Source organism: Homo sapiens, chromosome 7 (assembly GCF_000001405.40).
Source record: "Homo sapiens chromosome 7, GRCh38.p14 Primary Assembly".
Lineage (NCBI taxonomy): Eukaryota > Metazoa > Chordata > Mammalia > Primates > Hominidae > Homo > Homo sapiens.
The window spans coordinates 72954789-72973874 of record NC_000007.14 but is presented as its reverse complement, the minus strand read 5'-3'; the positions used below and the strand labels follow the sequence as shown (position 1 = coordinate 72973874).

At 52.6% G+C, this 19086-nt stretch overlaps 1 protein-coding gene, 1 long non-coding RNA gene and 1 pseudogene across 13 annotated transcripts, besides 1 other annotated feature; 1 reads left to right on the top strand and 2 right to left on the bottom strand.

The window, feature by feature from the left end:
• Positions 1-731: 731 nt before the first annotated feature.
• FKBP6P1 (FKBP6 pseudogene 1) lies at positions 732-4193 on the bottom strand (annotated as a pseudogene). Its single transcript, NR_104007.1, has 4 exons — positions 4005-4193; positions 3801-3918; positions 2290-2350; positions 732-1238 (listed from the first exon to the last, which is right to left on the bottom strand). The product of NR_104007.1 is annotated as an FKBP6 pseudogene 1 (transcript).
• On the top strand, positions 4194-19007 carry TRIM74 (tripartite motif containing 74). Of its 11 annotated transcripts, none has more exons than XM_011516190.3 (7): positions 4245-4283; positions 7700-7729; positions 7892-8116; positions 12430-12525; positions 13624-13854; positions 13967-13989; positions 18908-19007. In XM_011516190.3, the coding sequence occupies exons 2-7, from the start codon at positions 7718-7720 to the stop codon at positions 19005-19007; spliced, it is 687 nt and encodes a 228-aa protein (XP_011514492.1). In that variant the 5' UTR covers positions 4245-4283; positions 7700-7717. The 11 variants fall into 11 exon arrangements, with proteins under 11 accessions (XP_011514489.1, XP_047276310.1, XP_047276312.1 ...); XM_047420352.1 differs by lacking the exon at positions 4245-4283 and adding an exon at positions 4409-4590; XM_047420353.1 differs by lacking the exon at positions 4245-4283 and adding an exon at positions 6922-7042.
• Positions 12353-12905: an enhancer, noted in NCBI's record as "H3K4me1 hESC enhancer chr7:72431501-72432053 (GRCh37/hg19 assembly coordinates)". NCBI's record gives its function as "activates a minimal SCP1, AML or CMV promoter by ChIP-STARR-seq in naive H9 embryonic stem cells {active_cell/tissue: H9 hESC(naive)}" and the evidence as "EXISTENCE:reporter gene assay evidence [ECO:0000049][PMID:30033119]".
• LOC124901671 (uncharacterized) lies at positions 16497-19078 on the bottom strand. The gene is made up of 2 exons (XR_007060381.1): positions 18973-19078; positions 16497-18747 (listed from the first exon to the last, which is right to left on the bottom strand). It is a non-coding gene; the product is annotated as an uncharacterized LOC124901671 (long non-coding RNA).
• Between the last annotated feature and the right edge of the window lie 8 nt (positions 19079-19086).

The following is a 19086-nucleotide window of genomic DNA, read 5'->3' as shown; positions in this document are numbered from 1 at the left end:
TGCTCAGGCTGGAGTGCAATGGCACAATCTCGGCTCACCGCAACCTCTGCCTCCCAGGTTCAAGCGATTGTCCTGCCTCAGCCTCCCGAGTAACTTGGATTACAGGCATGTGCCACCACGCCTGGCTAATTTTGTATTTTTAATAGAGACGGGGTTTCTCCATGTTGGTCAGGCTGCTCTCCAACTCCTGACCTCAGGTGATCTGCCCGCCTTGGCCTCCCAAAGTGCTGGGATTACAGGCATGAGCCACTGCGCCTGGCCAATTATTATTATTTTTTGAGACGGAGTCTCAAATCTGTTGCCCAGGCTGGAATGCAGTGGCACGATCTTGGCTCACTGCAACCTCTGCCTCCTGGGTTCAAGCGATTCTCCCTGCCTCAGCCTCCCGAGTAGCTGGGGTTACAGGAATCCACCACCACGCCTGGCTAATTTTTGTATTTTTTAGTAGAGATGGGGTTTCACCATGTTGGCCAGGTTGGTCTTGAACTCCTGACCTCAGGTGATTTGCCCGCCTTGTCCTCCCAAAGTGCTGGAATTACAGGCGTGAGCCACCACGCCAGGCCCCTCTTTAGATCTGCTTTTTTTTTTTTTTTAAACAGGATCTTGCTCTGTTGCCCAGACTGGAGTGAAGTGGCACGACTATAGCCCACTGCAGCCTTGAACTCCGGGCTCAAGTGATCCTCCCGCTTCAGCCTCTCCAGTAGCTGAAACTACAGGCACACGCCACCACGCCCAGCTAATTTTTATTTTTATTTTGTAGAGATGGGGTTTCACTATGTTGCCCCGGCTGGTCTAAAATTCCTGGCCTCAAGCGATCCTCCTGCCTCCGCCTTCCGAAGTGCTGGGATTATAGGCTTGAGTCACCACCGTGCCCAGCATACATCTGCTTTCTGAATATTTGAGAGGCGGAAGGCACAAGGCGTGACAATTGATGGGATTTGGGATGTAAAGAGCAAGAGAGGACTCAAGCACAGTCGCCTCGAGGTTTCTAGCCCCGGCTGCTGTCACCAACCACTCTCAGGAAGGTAGGCAGAAGGTTACGCAGGAGAAACCGTAGGGGTAGTTCTGAGGCCCTGGAAGGGGTAGTTCTGAGGCCCCCGGGGGTGCGGAGCTGCAGGTCCAGGGAGGAGTGGTGAGGCTGGAGGAAGGTGAGGCTGGAGGAGGAGGTTCAGGAGGCTCTGAGGTAAAGATGGAGGCTGGGGCCTTGGGAGTCGAGGAGTTTACCCAAGACGAAGCATCTGTGTGGAAGAAAAGATAAGGCTGGGCGCAGTGGCTCACGCCTGTAAACCAAGCGCTTTGGGAGGCCGAGGTGGGCGGATCATCTGTGGTCAGGAGTTCGAGACCAGCCTGGTCAATATGGTGAAACCCCTTCTCTACTAAAAATACAAATATTAGCCGGGTACAGTGCACCTGTAATCCCAGCTACTCGGGAGGCTGAGGCACAAGGATCACTTGAACCCGAGAGGCAGAGGTTACAGTGAGCCGAGATCATGCCACTGCACTCCAGCCTGGGTGACAGAGCAAGACTCCATCTCCAAAAGAAAAAGAAACTATAAACATCATTGAAAGAAACTAAAGAAGACCTAAATAAATGGAAGGAAATCATGTTCATGGATTAAAAGACTTAATATTATTAAAATTTCATTACTTCAGAAGTGATCTACAGATTCAACACAATCCCTATCAAAATCCCAGCTGTGGCTGGGTGTGGCGGCTCACTTCTGTAATCCTGGCACTTCAAGAGCCAAGGTGGGAGGATTGCTTGAGCCGAGAAATTTGAGACCAGCCTGGCAACATGATCTCTACAAAAAATATAGAAATTAGCCAGGCGTTGTGGTGCCAGCCTGTAGTCCCAGCTACCCAGGAGGCTGAGGAAGGAGGATCGCTTGAGCCCAGGAGTTTGAGGCTGCAGTGGGCTATGATCACATCACTGCTCTCCGGCCTGGGCAACAGTGCAAGGTCATGTCTCAAAAAAAAAATCCCAGCTGGCTTTTTTTTTTTTTTTGAGATGGAGTCTTGCTCTGTTGCCCATGCTGGAGTGCAGTGGCGGACGATCAGCCTCAGGGCAGGCCATCTAGAAGAATTACCAAAAACACCAACCCATTTGTCTCTCTATAAAGTGCTGACATTTGTGCTCTGCAACGTACAGCTGAGAGAGCACAAAACTTGTCTGACTCAGCACAGTCTAGGAAGTCAAGCAGCTCAATCTTGAACAGGACAGTGGTGTTTGGGGGGATCAAGGGAGGGGAGCCCAGCGTTCCATAGGCGTAGTTCGGTTTGAACAGAAACCTGGCCAGCTCTCCTCTCTGCATGCTCAGAAGGCCCAGCTCCATGCCCCACAATGTAATATCTGTAAGAAGGGACAAAGAAGGTGGGTGAAGCTTGCTCAGTATCCTGCTTAATGCTATCAGTTTCTTCCCCCTCTAAGTCAGCAGTACTCTGGCCTCCATGTCTCCCTCACACAGTTCCCTCTTCCTGCAATGTCTTCCTCCTGAGCCTGTGCCCAGCTTCTAGTGATAGAAATTTTATTCAAACTTCTGGGCTCAGTTCAAATGCCCCCTCTTCCAGGAAGCCTTCCCTGAACTTCCCAGCTAGAATTAATCATGCCTTCATTAAGCACACCCACAACACTGCTTTCACCTCCCAGGCACTCATCCGATTCTACCAAGTGAGCTGAGTGCAGGTCAGTCTCCTCTACTACATTGTGAGGTCCTTAAGGGTGGAGATGTTCTAATCTTCTGAGTACAACCTCTCTTTTCACCATGTATTGTGGGAAGTAAGCATTCGTCGATTTTTACTTAATAAATGAACAAAGAAACATTCCCAGTGGTGAGTTAAGTCAGAGTGCAAAGATTATACCTTGCCCATTAAGCCATCTCCCAAATGCCTAGGTCTCAAGGGGAGAGAACATGGCTGTTTTACCAAAACCCAGCCTCAGCAAAGTCAATTCAAAGAACCTGCGCTCTGAGCAGTCTTCCCAGCCTGAGGCATGGTGCCTCATCTCGCTCCTAAACAATCCCTTCTTCTCCAGCTCCTACTCTGAATTTACCCTCTCCAAGTTTCATTAGCCGAGGAGTTTTCCTAAAGTAATTAGAATCGAAGGGTCTGTCCAAGTGTTCCAGGTATCCATACTATTTCACTAGAATAGAGGAAAGAATGTAAGGAAAATGGACCCAAAACACCCACGCCTCCATAATATCGAGTCTCTCATGATCACACAGAAACAATGCGATCAGATGAGCTTAAGCTGCCCGACACCACGAGGTACAGGAATAAATCTCTCTGCATTTTAGGAGCCTGCCCTTCGGCTCAGAGGTTCAAGAGCTTCATGGAAGCATCACGCAAAGGGGACATAGGGGTCCTTAGCTTTCCTCTTAAAAAAACTAATTCATGGCAGAAGCAGCGGCTCACGCTTGTAATCCCAGCTACTGGGGAGGCTGAGGTGGGAGGATCACTTGGGACCAGGAGTCTGAGACCAGCCTGGGCAACATAGAAAGTGCCCCATCTCTACAAAAATATTAAAAATTAGCCGGGCATGGTGGATTGCGCCTGTAAATCTCTTATTTGGGAGGCTGAGGCTGGAGAATCACTTGAGCCCAGGAAGCAGAGGCTGCAGTGAGCTATGTTCGCACCACTGCACTCCAGCCTGGGGAACTGAGCGAGACCCCGTTTCAAAAACAAAAATCCACTTCAAACAAAGCATTTCCAACCCCATTAAATGCTTTTTGAAAATGAGGCCTCTCTCTTCCCAACAGAGTGCGATGACATGGATCCTGCGGACAAACCGCCCCAGGGCGTACCTAGCACCGAAGCATCAGGCGCCACTAGGTCTCCAGCTCCTTCTCGGATGACGTCCTTCAGCACGCCCCGGTCCCCCGAGATGTCCAGCATCCTCTGACTTAACCGCTCGTACAGGGACTGATGGAGAATGAAAGCCAGGCCTCAGAGCCGCAGACCCACCCGGCCACCCCTCAGCGTCTACGCCCCCACGTCTGGGCCCTCACCTGGCCGGGGGCGTCGTCCCCTTCCAGGACTCCCTGGTTTAACGCGCTTCCCCCCATGTCCTAGCTGCCCTCCCTGTGGCGTGAGCCTTCGGCCTGGTGCGCCCCGCTGCCCTTCCTGGCTGTGACTCTGGTGGGGTTCCGAAGGCCCCTTTATGCCCGGCAGACCCCTACCGACGGCGGCATTCCATTCTGGGGCCACGAGGAGGCACTCATCGTTTCGTTCCAACCGCCGCCAACGGCCCTGGCCCTCGCGAGCTCTGGAACTACAGAGGTCGCACGGTGAGTTGCCAGGTGTGGCCCGTAATCGGAGCGCACAAAACATGATGGGACACGTAACGGGACCACACAGGGCACATTGGGCACTTGCAGGGGCGCGAGGTGGCGGCACGTAATGGGAGCGCGCTGAGCATGATGGGGCATGTGCGGGAGCGCCAGGCGGGGCATGTAACCAGAGCGTGCGGGGCATGATGGGGCACGGACATGGGGGGTTAGGTGGGGCACGTAATTGGAGCTCGCGGGGCAGGATGGGGCATCTAACTGGAGCGACAGAGAGCACGATGGGGCACTTACAGGGGCCGGAGGCTGGGTACGTAATGAGAGCGAGCGGGAAATGATGGGGCACCTAACGAGCACGCAGAGCATGATGGGGCACGGGTGCGAGGTGGGGCGCACAGTGGGAGCGCGTGGGGCATGATGGGACACATGGCGAGGCCGTCAGGGCACAGGGGAAGCACTTTTGGAACACGTGAGTGACAGGGCTGCCGCCCTTGAAGGAGCCCTCGGAGTGGCTGCGTGGTGGGGCACGTGGGGCAGGTTCAGGAAAAAGGATGCAGCATGTGATTGCAGGGCAACCTGGTGAGGACACGAGAGCCACCTGCCACCAGCAGGGTTCAGGGCTCCCAGCTGTGGGTTACTTCCACCTTCTTTCACTTTCCCTCTTCCATTGTATTCTAGAGAATTTAGGCCCAGACAAGACACTGATTGATTGATTGATTGATCGATTGACAGAGGCTCGCTCTGAGCCCAGGCTGGAGTTCAGTGATGGATCTCAGCTCACTGCAGCCGCCACCTCCTGGGCTCAAGAGATCCTCCTGCCTCGGCCTCCCAAGTAGCTGGGATTACAGACGTGCACCACCAGGCCCAGCTAATTTATTTTTTAGTTTTTAATTTGCTGGTAAGATGGTTTGTAGCTTTGTTGCCTAGGCTGGTCTTGAACTCCTGGCTTCAAGCGATCCTCCAGTCTTGACCTCCCAAAGTGCTGGGATTATAGGCGTAGGCTACAGCCAACTTTCAATACTGCCCCATTGGGGGTTACGTTTCCAACACATGAAATTAGGAGGATACATTCAAACCACAGCAGTATATTATGACCATAATATTCATTAACTGTGTAACAGGCTGGGCGCGGTGGCTCACACCTGTAATCCCAGCACTTTGGGAGACCAGAGTGGGTAGATCACTCGAGGTCAGGAGTTTGAGACCAGCCTGGCCCACATGATGAAACCGCCTCTCTACTAAAAATACAAAAAATTAGCCGGTGTGGTGGCAGGCGCCTGTAACCTCAGCTACTTGGGAGGCTGAGGCAGGAGAATCACTTGAATCCGGGAGGTGGAGGTGGCAGTGAGCCTGATTGCACCACTGCACTCCAGCCTGGGCAACAAGAGCAAAACTCTGTCTCAATAAACAAACAAACAAACAAAACCTGTATAACAGAGTGTCATTGAATTTCTAAACGTTGAAAGACTTCACATTAAAAAAAAACTCACAATTTAATATTATTGAGTGAAAGAAACCAGACACAAAAGGGTACATTCTATATGATGCTGTTTATGTGACATTCAAAAACAGGCCACATGACAACATGGTAATAAGGACAGTGGCTGTCCTTGTTAGGAGTTATGACTGGAAGGAGGCAGGAGGGAGCTTTCTGGAAACACTGTACATCTTGCTCTTGAGAGTGCACGTATATACATCAAGTGTTTATCAAGCTGTGTGGTTAAGATTTGCACACTTGTATATGTTATACCTCGATTTAAAAAATCTAAATAAGTAAATAAAGATACCTTCAAATCTTTAAAAAAAAAAAAAAAAAGAGGCCAGGTTCGGCGGCTCACACCTGTAATCCCAGCACTTTGGGAGGCTGAGGTAGGAGGATTGCTTGAGGCCAGGAGTTCAAAACCAGCCCAGGCAACAAAGTGAGACCCCTGTCTCTACTAAAGTAAATAAAACAATAAAATAAAAAAAAAAATTCGAGAGATCGAACCATCATCTGCCAGTTTGTATTAGAAAAAAAGAGAGAGAGAAGGAAGACTGCGTGCAATAAGGCTCATGCCTGTAATCCCAGCACTTTGGGAGGCCAAGGTGGGAGGATTGCTTGAGCCCAGAAGTTGAAGACCAGCCTGGGCAACAAAGCAAGACCCGGTATCTACAAAAAAAATTTTAAAAATTAGCTTGGCATGGTGGCACGTGCCTGTAGTCCCAGCTACTCAGGCAGCTAAGGTAGGAGGATGGCTTGAGCCTAGGAGTTGGAGGCTGCAGTGAGCTGTGACCACGCCACTGCACTCCAGCCTGGGCAACAGAGCAAGACACTGTCTTCCCCTGCCCCCCAGCCCCCCACCCCCCCCAAAAAAGGATATAAGAGCAAGAGATTGAGATTCAGAAAGAACTGTTTCCCAGCACCTGTCTGCTCCTGTCGGGGTCGTGAGGTGTGGACAGTGTGCCTAGTCCCTCTGTTTCTGCCCCTCCTCCACAGTGGCCAAGGCCAGCACTTGAATGTTATCAGAGCAGGCCCAACAAAGGCTGCCTCCCCAGTCCTGTGATGTAACCCAGTTTCCACCTGATTCTGGTGACCTTGGGGACACAGGGGTGTTGCTGGGGAAGGGGAGGAGAGAAGGGGCAGAGACCAGGCAGTGGTGCAGGCGTCCAGCTGCACTTCCCACTTCTGACTCTGTGCCTGCTGTTCCCTGCTGGGAAGAAGAAAAGCCAGTGATGCTGGCTTGAGGCCATAGTGGGAGGCCCAGTGGATCCTGAGAAGCTAGGTATTCCAATGTCGGGCTCTCGCTGGGGGCTTCTGGTGCTTCTTCTGTCTCACTGACAAGCTTTCATAGGGGAGCAGGTGGGAGATCAGGGTAGAGGCCTTGTAGGTTCCAGGCTCTCTAGAATTACCTGGGAGTGTCACCTATAAGTGTAGAGTTCTGGGTCTCACTGGAGACCCCCTGAAGCAGATCCTTTGAAGGTGGGCCTCTAGAATCTCTATTACACCTATGCTTTCAACAGTTTCCTGAAAGTTTGGGAACTGATCTAGAAGGTGGGGAGCTTGCCTAGGTTTTGCTGTTCAGTTCTAGGTCCGGATGCATGCTGGGGCTGGACCTTGCATTATTAGTGTCACTGCAAATGACCCTGCAGATGGCCCCTTTCATGCTTGTCTCCAAATTTGAGTAAAAAATGTAGACACACACACACACACACACACACACACACACACACGTATCTTCAAGGGACCAGTTTTTTCACTGCAGTCTTTTGTTTTACAGCTGTGGAAACTGAGGCCCAAGGTCATGTGGGTTAGGACTGGGATCCAGGACTCAAAGTGTTTCTTATAAAATTCTGGTGCTCCTTAGGGTTGAGGGTGGTGGGTGAGTGCTGGACAGGGGGAGGGGAGTGGACAGGACTGAGGTCGGATGCCTGTGTTTCAGCCCGGGCAGTGAGTGTGGATGGCTTGGCAGGTGAGCCTGCTGGAGCTGGAGGACTGGCTTCAGTGTCCCATCTGCCTGGAGGTCTTCAAGGAGTCCCTAATGCTACAGTGCGGCCACTCCTACTGCAAGGGCTGCCTGGTTTCCCTGTCCTACCACCTGGACACCAAGGTGCGCTGCCCCATGTGCTGGCAGGTGGTGGACGGCAGCAGCTCCTTGCCCAACGTCTCCCTGGCCTGGGTGATCGAAGCCCTGAGGCTCCCTGGGGACCCGGAGCCCAAGGTCTGCGTGCACCACCGGAACCCGCTCAGCCTTTTCTGCGAGAAGGACCAGGAGCTCATCTGTGGCCTCTGCGGTCTGCTGGGCTCCCACCAACACCACCCGGTCACGCCCGTCTCCACCGTCTGCAGCCGCATGAAGGTGGGGAGTGAGGGTGCAGGCGGGGCGGCGGGGCCCGCGGGGACTGGATCCTGTGCTCTCTGGCGCTATCAACTGGCACCAAAACGGATCCAGCTATCCTCGATTTCCCTGCAGCCCTGCCCTGGCGCATTCATTCCTTAGTGTTTGAGCGGCAGCTAAACCCAGGTGCTGGGGATTGAAGCTACACGCACAGGATGGGAGCTCCCTGGTGTCACGTGCTCACCCCTTCCTGTTTTTTGTTTGCAGTTCTGGTTTGTTTCTTTTTCTTTTTTTCTTTCTCTCTCTCCCGCCCCCTTCCCTTCCTCTCTCTCTCTCTCCCCCTCCCTCGCCCGCCCCCCCTTTCTTTTTCTTCTTTCTTTTTGGAGACAGCGTCTCACTCTGTTGCCCAGGCTGGAGTGCAGTGGTGTGATCATGGCTCACTGCAGCCTCCAACTCCTAGGCTCAAGCAATCCACCCACCTCAGCCTCCCGAGCAGCTGGGACTACAGGTGCACACCACCATGCCCAGCTCATTTTTTATATTTTGTAGAAATGGGGTCTGGTTATGTTGCCCAGGCTGGTGTTGAATTCCTTGGCCTCCAACGATCTTCCTGCCTGGGCCTCCCAAAGTGCTGGAATTATAGGCATGCACCACTGCCCTACGCCCCTTGTTTGTGTCTGGACACTCCCCTGTTTGCACTCTCTGGTGCATGAGAGTGGGGACTTCATTTTGTCCCCTGGTGTATTTCAGTGCCTGGAGCCATGCCTGGCACATTGTAAATGTCCAAAATGCTGAATCAGTGAATTCCTGCCTTTATAGGCCATCACCAAACCTAGCAGATCATTCTTTAAGATGAGTAATAATAATACCTGACTGGGTGTTATATATATAAAACACCTGTTATAAAACACGTGACTGGGTGGCTTATGCCTATAATAACAGCACTTTGGGAGGCCGAGGTGGGTGGATCACTTGAGTCCAGGAGTTTGAGACCAGCCTGGGCAACATAGTGAGACCCTGCCTCTACAAAAGTTTCAAAATTAGCCTGGTTGGCCAGGCGCAGTGGCCACTCCTGTAATCCCAGCATAAAGCTGGAGGGAGCATGGGTGGGGGCGAGATAGGGCCAGCGAGGTAAGCTGCGGCTGGGGCATGGAGAGGCCAGTGTGACCCGGGAATGGATTTGGAGTTTATTCACAGGATGAGGGAGAAAGGCGGGGGCTGGAGTGTTTTAAGCCAGTGATGACATGCTCAGATCTCTCTGGCAGAGGGGAGCTTTGAGGGTGAGGCAAAAGGACAGTGAGAGATGAAGGTGCCAGGACCTAAGTTGGTGGGAACTGGGACAAAGGCCTGGGGCAGACCAAAGACAAATTTCAAACAGAAAAAAACCCTGACAACTGTGTGTGGCAAGGAGGGTGAGGGATGGGGAGGTTGACTCCAGCTCTGTAATTCCCCCTTGCACAGAGGAAGTGATCGCAGGGGAGGATCCGGCGTGGGCAGGTGGAGCGGGAGGTGCCTGGGGATGTGCAGTCGGGTTGAGGGGTGTGCAGACCAGGACAGCGGTGGGGCTCAGGGCAAGAGGTGTGGAGGGTCCTTCCTCTTGGTGGTCACTGAAGTCCCCTTTGGTGGAGAAGACCAACCCAGGAGAGTCTACATAGTGATAAGGGAAGACACTGATGATGACCCCAAGGGGTACCAGGCTTAAAATCTGGATTGAGAGAGAGAGAGCCCTGAAAAAGGAATAGAAAGAATCCTCAGAGCAGGAACACCGGCTGAGTGTGGCCTCCCGGAAATCAGAGAGACAGACTGAAGGAGGAGATCACGTGTGTGAAATGTCTCTGAGGACTGAAAAGTGTTAAATGTAGCAGTAAGAACTGATTATCTTGGCAAGAGCAGGTTTAGGGGAGTATGGAAGGTGGAAGCCAACTGCAGGTGAGGAAGCCGAGTTTATGTTTTATTAGTTGATGGGAAGGAGGGAGGGAACAGGCTGGGAGATTGTCTGTCCTTTGTAGTTAGGATCCAGCAGCTCAGCTTGGGTCCCTGTTTTAGATTTGGGCTTAATTTTTTTTTTTTTGGTAGAGACAGGGTCTCACTATTTTGTCCAGGCTGGACTCAAACTCCTGGCCTCAAGTGATCCTCCCGTCTCGGCCTCCCAAAGTGCTGGGATTCCAGGCATGAGCCACTGTTCCCGGCCAGATTTGGGTTTTGATGATCCCGAGGCTCTTCTCTGTTGCAACACAGAATACAACTAAATTGCACTCCTTTATTGCCCTCTTTAAGGTGTTCCCGTTGCCTCCTGTTTATTGAGATCTTGAGATGCTCGATTGATGGGTGCATTGATTTGCATAACTTAGTTCTTCTCACGGGGAAGGAATGAGTCCCGTCTGTCTGCCTGGGGAGGGTGACATTGGAATGCTGTTCTTAGGCCTCTGTGAGATGTTCTGATGCCTCATTCTCCAGAGCAAGGACTCTGTCCGTTTATGCCAGCAAGTGCTTGATTCTTTACCCAACTCCCTTCCTGAAAGCCCCTTGCAGCTCTCTGGTGCTTGGGCACGATCCAAGCCAAAAATTCTGTACATTGCATGGGTATAAACCGACGGGGGCTCTGGTCAAGTCATGGAGTAGATGGTGGTCCAGGAGTCCTGGTTGGCACCCCCAAGGCTAGGTCAGATTTGGGGCCCGGGCAGTCCAGGAGAAGTGCATTTATGTCAGCTTGGGGAGGTCGCAAATCCGTGCTGTGTCCAAGCCCACCAGGAATGGATTCAGGTGTTTATAGGTGTGGGGATTCACCAGGTTAAACCCAGGCCCGTGTGAGCACCACTGGCCCTAGAATTAGCCTCACCTGGCGCCGGCCTTTTTGTGATGGCTCCTGATTAAATACCCACTAATTCTGGATCTGCTGGTGACCACAGAGTTCACCTGATGGGTCCCCTACAGGCAGCATTCAATCCAGGAAGTGCCAGCATCACATGGTGACTTCTGGTAGCTGTAACATTTAGTGACTGTCTCCATGTCATGCACAGGGGTGACATCGAGACCCTCTTATGCCTGGGAAGTTCCTGCTGTCAATGCAGAATATTCTCTTTTTTTTTTTTTTTTTTTGAGACGGAGTCTCGCTCTGTCGCCCAGGCTGGAGTGCAGTGGGCGATCTCGGCTCACTGCAAGCTCCGCCTCCCAGGTTCACGCCATTCTCCTGCCTCAGCCTCCCGAGTAGCTGGGACTACAGGCGCCCGCTACCACGCCCGGCTAATTTTTTGTATTTTTAGTAGAGACAGGGTTTCACTGTGTTAGCCAGGATGGTTTCGATCTCCTGACCTCGTGATCCGCCCGCCTCAGCCTCCCAGAGTGTTGGGATTACAGGCGTGAGCCACCGCGCCCGGCCCAGAATATTCTTTGAAGAAAAAAAAAACATTAGAGATGGGATTTCACTGTGTTGCCCAGTCTGGTCTCAAATTCCTAGCCTCAAGTGATCCTCCCATCTTGGCCTCCTAAAGTGCTGGGATTACAGGCATGAGCCACTGTGCCCAGCCTAGAATATTCTTTTTTTTTTTTCTTGAGATGGAGTCTTGCTCTGTTGCCCAGGCTGGAGTGCTGTGGCGCAATCTCGGCTCACTGCAACCTCCTCCTCCCAAGTTCATGCCATTCTCCTGACTCAGCCTCCGGAGTAGCTGGGACTACAGGTGCCCGCCACCATGCCCGGCTAATTTTTTTTGTATTTTTAGTAGAGACAGGGTTTCACTGTGTTAGCCAGGATGGTCTCGATCTCCTGACCTCGTGATCAGCCAGCCTCGGCCTCCCAAAGTGCTGGGATTACAGGCGTGAGCCACCGCGCCCGGCCCTTAGAATATTCTTGAATTATCTTATTTTTTATTTTTATTTTTTGAGACAGAGTCTCACTGTGACACCCAGGCTGGAGTGCAATGGCATGATCTCAGCTCACTGCAACATCAATCTCCCAGGTTCAAGCGATTCTCGTGCCTCAGCCTCCCAAGTAGCTGGGACTACAGGTGTGTGCCACCACACCTGGCTAATTTTTGTATTTTCAATAGAAATGGGGTTTCACCATGTTGGCCAGGCTAGTCTCAAACTCCTGACCTCAAGTGAAGTCCCACCTCAGTCTCCCAAAGTGCTGGAATTACAGGCGTGAGCTACTGCGCCCAGACTATTCTTGAACAATTTAACCTGTTTTGGACTCAAGGGTACCTGGGTGGCTCTGGTTCCCGCCCTGGTTTCCCTGGGAGTGCTTGTGGCCATTGGGATACTCCCAAGAAGGTGATCCAAGGAGCTGAGAAGGGGAGGGATCAGCTGCTCATGGGGCCATGGCCTGTTGCCTCCAGGAGGAGCTCGCAGCCCTCTTCTCTGAGCTGAAGCAGGAGCAGAAGAAGGTGGATGAGCTCATCGCCAAACTGGTGAAAAACCGGACCCGAATCGTCGTGAGTGCCCCTTCCCTCTGCCCCTGCCTGGGACCGGCCACCTTCACTTTCCTGTAGAGCTCAGTTCTCATTGGTCCTTTACAGAAAACCATGCCTTCCATATAAAGCCAGAACTCAAAGCATTCCGGGGCGGGGTGGGGAAAGCGCAAATCCTCTCAGGGGAATTCAACCCAGTTGTCGTTAGGACTGGCTCCAAGTTGGCTTTTGCCCTCTGTGTCCTTGAGACTGAGATAACCCAGGACTTGAGTCTCGGGGGTAAACAGCTGAAAGCATGGGCGTGACTCCTCCGCCCCTGTGCCACCTGTGTCTGCTTGACCTTGCCAGCCTGTCATGGTGCCCTCCCAGTACCTGGGTGCGCAGGCGTGGAGAGGCTGGCAGCCCTGGGCCCTGGCTGATCTCCTGAACTGAGAGGCACATGGGGCTGGGACGCATAGTGCCCCGGCCCTGGAGGTGGCTGTGAAACAGAAACAGGAGCCGAGCAAGATCCAGAAGCACTTGGCCTCCCTCATTTACCCTCCTCACCCTTGCGCGGCAGGCGGTATCAGCCCTGCCTGGTGGAGGCGGAGCTCAGGGTTCTGCAGGGAGTTCTGGCTCCCTCACAGCAAAGCCCGCTCGCCCAGGGCCTTCCTGCTTTCCTTCAGTTGTGGAACTCTGGGATATGCACATTTAATAGCTGAAATAGGCAAAGTGGGGTGTGGTGGCGTGCATCTGTAATCCCAGCAACTCGGGAGGCTGAGGCGGGAGGATTGCTTGAGGCTGGGAGGTCAAGGCTACAGTGAGCTATGATCGTGCCACTGCGCTCCAGCCTGGGCAACAGAGTGAGACCCTGTCTGTTAAAAAAAAAATTAAAAATTAAAACAGGCCAAAGCAGAGCCTCTCCATTTGAAATGGGAGCTGGGGCCACCCTCCCCACGGCCACCGCCAGGGCTCCCCATGCATGGGGTGAACTCCCTGCCCGGCGCCAGGCCATGCAGCCTCCCCTGAGACTCAGGTCCCAGGACCAACCCGGTCAGGAAGGCCCTGGGGACACCGAGGCCAGCCAGACAGAGCCTGGCAGCTCGGCTGTGACTCTGCAGTGAGCAGCCCTCCCTGTCCCAGAATGAGTCGGATGTCTTCAGCTGGGTGATCCGCCGCGAGTTCCAGGAGCTGCGCCACCCGGTGGACGAGGAGAAGGCCCGCTGCCTGGAGGGGATAGGGGGTCACACCCGTGGCCTGGTGGCCTCCCTGGACATGCAGCTGGAGCAGGCCCAGGGAACCCGGGAGCGGCTGGCCCAAGCCGAGTGTGTGCTGGAACAGTTCGGAAATGAGGACCACCATGAGTTCATCTGGGTGAGTGGACAGGGAGGCGTCCCATCCCCATACCCGCCAGGGCCTTCCCCTTCCCAACAGTGCCCTGGCTTCCCACCTTCTAGCCTTAACCTCCCTCTCTCTTGCCTTCCAGAAGTTCCACTCCATGGCCTCCAGGTAATAACCTTGGAGAGAGCTCAGCCAGGGTCTGGTGGCTGCGGGCACGGGCATCTCAGCTCCACTGGTTCCTCCATTCAGCTTAACCAGCGCCTCCCAAGCAGCTGCCTATAGCTGGCTCTATAACTGAGCCTGGGGAAGATAGAGGAAAGTCACGTCCCTGCCTTCAAGGGTCTCGCAGACAGGTGGGGAGGCAGATGGTGAACTGTGGGTACCTAGAACAGCAGAAGTTCACTCAAGCTACAGAAATACTAGAGGAGGGTAGCTCATGCCTGCAATCCCAGTACTTTGGGAGGCCAAGGCAGGAGTATTGCTGGAGGCCGGGAGTTCGAGACCAGCCTGGCCAATGTAGTAACACCCCCGTCTCTACAAAAAATACAAAAATAAAAAAATTAGTTGGGCATGGTGGCATGCGCCTATAGTCCCTGCTACTCATAAGGCTGAGGTGGGAGGATTGCTTGAGCCCAAAGTTTGATGCTGCAGTGAGTCATGATCATGCTACTGCATGATCCAGCCTGGGTGACAGAGCGAGACCCTGTCTCAGAAAACAAAACACTAGAGGAGGAGCAGGTGTCTGGGAGGCCTGGCAGAGGGGCACACGCCTGATGGCTGAGAAGGGCCCAGGACCCGAGTTTGCCAGGCAAGCCGAGGGAACAGTCCTGTAAAAGGGGGAGTGGCGTGCGGACTCTGGTTATGAGAAGTTCAGGGTGGCTGGATGTAAGGCAGGATATCAGGAGGAGTGGGAGCTGGGAGAGGTGGGAAATGGCCAGAAGCAACATCCAGGAGCACCAGGCATCCCTTGCTTACCGTCCTCACCCTTGCGCAGCAGGCAGTATCAGCCCTGCCTGAAACTTGCTCTGCAGATTGTGGGAAGAGAGCGGATCCATGTTCTAGACCCAACAAACGAACACGTGCAGTTCCCAAGCCTTCCTCACTCCCTGTTTATGGGAGACTCCTTGTTTCTCACATTTCTTTTAGTCTTAGAGACAATTTGGTCAGGAGACATGGGTTTAAATGAAGGCACAGAGCCTGGGCACAGCAGCTTACACCTGTAATCCCAGCACTTTGGAAGGCCAAGGCAGAAGGATGACTTGAGGTCAGGAGATCAAGACCAGCCTGGCCAACATGGTGAAACCCTGTCTCTATGAAAAATACAAAAATTAGCTGGGTGTGGTGGCACATACCTGTAATCCCAGCTACTCGGGAGGCTGAGGCACAAGAATCTCTTGAACCTGGGAGGTGGAGGTTGCAGTGAGCTGAGATTGCTCCACTGCACTCCAGCCTGGGTGACAGAGCAAGACTCCATCTCAAAAAAAAAAGAAAAGAAAACAAGAAAAAAAAAAGTCCGGGCATGGTGGCTCATGCCTATAATCCCAGCACTTTATGCTCAAGTCTGCTTTTTTTTTTTTTTTTTTTGAGATGGAGTCTCGCTCTGTCACCCAGGCTGGAGTGCAGTGGCACGATCTCAGCTCACTGCAACCTACACCTCTCAGGTTCAAGTGATCTCCTGCCTCAGCCTCCCGAGTAGCTGGGATTACAGGTGTGCACCCCATGCTCAGCTAATTTTTTTATTTTTAATATAGATGGGGTTTTGCCATGTTGACCATGCTGGTCTCGAACTCCTGACCTCAAATGATTCGCCTGCCTCGGCCTCCCAAAGTGCTGGGATTACAGGCGTGAGCCACCGTGCCCAGCCTTGAGTCTTTATTTTTAGAGACAGGATCTTGCTCTGTCACCCAGGCTGGAGCGCAGTGGTGCAACTGTAGCTCACTGCAGCCTTGACCTCCCAGGCTCAAGTGATCCTCCTGCCTCAGCCTCCTGAGTAGCTGGGACGACAAGTGTCTGCTACCATACCCAGCTAATATTTAAATTTTTAGTAGAGATGGGATCTTGCTATGTTACCCAGGCTGGTCTGGGCCTCAAGCAATCCTCCCACCTTGGCCTCCCAAAGTGTTGGGATTATAGGTGTGAGCCACTGTGCTTAGCCTCCCATAACCCTTTGATTCACGATACTCATAGGCTAAGTGGGTCCTGGAAGCTCCGGGGTAGCCTTCTAACCAAGATGCTGGCTCGGGCCACTGGAAGTCAAACTGGGTGCACAGACCAGTGAGAGGGCATGAGGGAGCCTAGCAGGGGTGAACAGCAACCCTCAGCCTCCCCACAGCCCTGCCTCTCCTCCTGCCTCTCCTCGGTCTCCTTTGAGGATTCAGCCTCTCGTCCTCACCACTTATGGTCTGAGGGCCTCCAGGCTCCTCTTCTGGCTGTCTACCCCTCCACACCCATAGCTCCAGTCATCACTTCCACAGGGATGACTCAGAAGTTCCCTCTCCGGGAGACCCGTCCCTTACAGGCCACATCCAGTAGCGCTCCAGCCATTCAGCAGCTCCGCCTGGACGTCAAGGGCATGTCCAAAACCGCGCTCATGATCTTCCTACTCCCCCATCCCTGAGATTTATCCTGTGGCTGTGGTGTCCTGTGGCTACTGTAACAAATGACCACAAACTTGGTGGCTTCAAACAAATTTAATCTCTCATGGTTCTGAAGGCCAGATGTCCAAGATCACGATGATGGCAAGGCCGCGCTCCCTCTGGAGACTGTCGGGGAAAACCTGCCCCTTTCCTCTTCAGCTTCAGGTGGTGGCTGCCATGCCCTGGTGTTTCCTGGCCTGTGACCGCATCATTCCAATCTCTGCCTCCATCTTCACGTGGCCTTTTCTGTATGTGCCGGTCTAATCTTCCTCTGCTTCTCTCTTATTTTTTGTTTTTTGAGACAGAGTCTCACTCTGTTGCCCAGGCTGGAGTGCAGTGGTGTGATCTCGGCTCACTGCAACCGCCACTTCCCAGGTTCAAGCAATTCCCTTAACTTAGCCCCCTGAGTAGCTGGGATTACAGGCGTGCACTCAGCAAATTTTTGTATTTTTAGTAGAGACGTGGTTTCACCATGTTGGCTAGGCTGGTTGTGAACTCCTGGGCTCAAGGGATCCACCAGCCTCAGTCTCCCAAAGTGCTGGGATTACAGGTGTGACCCACTGCGCTTCTCCCTATAAGAGAGGCCTTCCTCTGCCTCTCTCTTATAGGGATACTTGTGATGCCATGCAGGACCTGCCCAGATAATCCAGGATAACCTTCTCTCCAAATCCTTCCCCTGATCACTCCTACAGATCTCTTCCATAGAAGGTGACATTTCCAGGCTCTAGGAATTAGGACCTGCTCTCTCTGGGTGGCCGTTGTTCACTCCACCACCCCAGGTTTCCCCATCCTACCAAAAGACACAGCAGCATTGTGTCAACTGCCCAAACTGAAAACCTATGAGTTATTCTCGACCTGTCCTTTTTCCTGAGCAAGTTCTGTGGATTTAACTTAGCGGTCACACTGCCAACTTCAACCGAACTCCACTGCCACCAACTCAGTCCAGGCCACCAGTTCTTGTTTAGGTGACTGCCATGACCCCCATTGGTCTCTCCCTGCCTCAACTCTGTCCCCTCCATCCTATATCCCCACACTGTAACCAGACTGATTATTTATTTATTTATTTATTTTTTGGGGAAAGAAGCTTGCTCTATCCCCCAGGCTGGAGTGCGGTGGCACAATCTCAGCTTACTGCAACCTCCGCCTCCCAGGTTCAAACGATTCTGCCTCAGCCTCCCAAGTAGCTGAGATTACAGGTGTCTGCCACAATGCCTGGCTAATCTTTGTATTTTTAGTAGAGACGGGTTTTGTCATGTTGGCCAGGCTGGTCTCAAACTCCTGACCTCAAGTGATCCACCTGCCTTGGCCTCCCAAAGTGCTAGGATTACAGGTGTGAGCCACCGCACCTGGCCAGACTGATCTTTAAAGAAGTATACATGAACACAGCACTCCATGACTTAAAACCCTTAAGAGGACTACCATTTATCTCAAGATGAAAGAACAAAATCCTCGCTGGGCACAGTGGTTCATGCCTGTAATCACTGCTTTGGGAAGCCGAGGTGGGAAGATCACTTTAGGCCAGGAGTTCGAGACCATCCATGGGCAACATGGTGAGACCGCATTTCTACAAAAGATAAAATTAGCTGGGTGTGGTGGTGCACGTCTGTAGTCCCAGCTACTTGGAGGGTGAAGTGGGAGGATCACTTGAGCCCTGGAGTTCGAGGCTGCAGTGAGCTATGACGGTGCCACTGCACTCCAGCCTGGGTGACGGAGTGGGACCTCATCAAAAGCAAAAACAAAACCGTTATTGTGGCTTTGAGGCCTGGATCATAACTACATCATTTAATTTGGCCAAACCGGCCCATTTCAGGTACCCAAATACCCCGTGTGCTTTCTTGCTTGGCTCTGGGACTAATGTGGTTACTGGTGCAGGGTGAGTGGCAGGTATCATGAACCACATTGTGGACCTGGAGTTGCTAGGACCTTTTCTGCCATTACACAGAAAAATCCTCCCTGAGAACACAGCCATTGGAGGACACATGGCAGAGGAAGATAAGACAATAAACAGAGACACATAATTATGGCCAGCGTGGGGGCTCACGCCTGTAATCCCAAAACTTTGGGAGGCCGAGGTGGGCAGATCACCTAAGGTCAGGAGTTCGAGGCCAGCCTGGCCAACATGGTGAAACCCCGTCTCTACTAAAAATACAAAAATTAGCCGGGCGTGGTGGCACGGGCCTGTAGTCCTAGCTACTCCAGAGGGTGAGGCAGGAGAATTGCTTGAACCTGGGAGGCGGAGGTTGCAGTGAGCCAAGATCGCGACACTGCGCGACAGAGTGAGTCTTTTTGTCTGAAAAAAAAAAAAATATATATATATATATATATATATACACACATACACACATAATACACACACACATATATATATGAAATGACCAATACACATGTGAACATATTCAACGCAATAACTGCGGTTAAACAGCAGTAAAATCCCATTATTTATCCATCAGATTGACAAAGACTGAAGAACTGGAGAAGAAGTGGCGAAACGGGCTCGCAGCGTCGCATTCCCTACCCCAGCAGGTGCGCCCGCAGCGTCGCACTCCCTAGCCCGGCAGGTGCGCGATCACACACACACCCTGCAGGGGGACTTCGACCGGCACTTCCGGTCCCGGAAGGGCATGCCCTT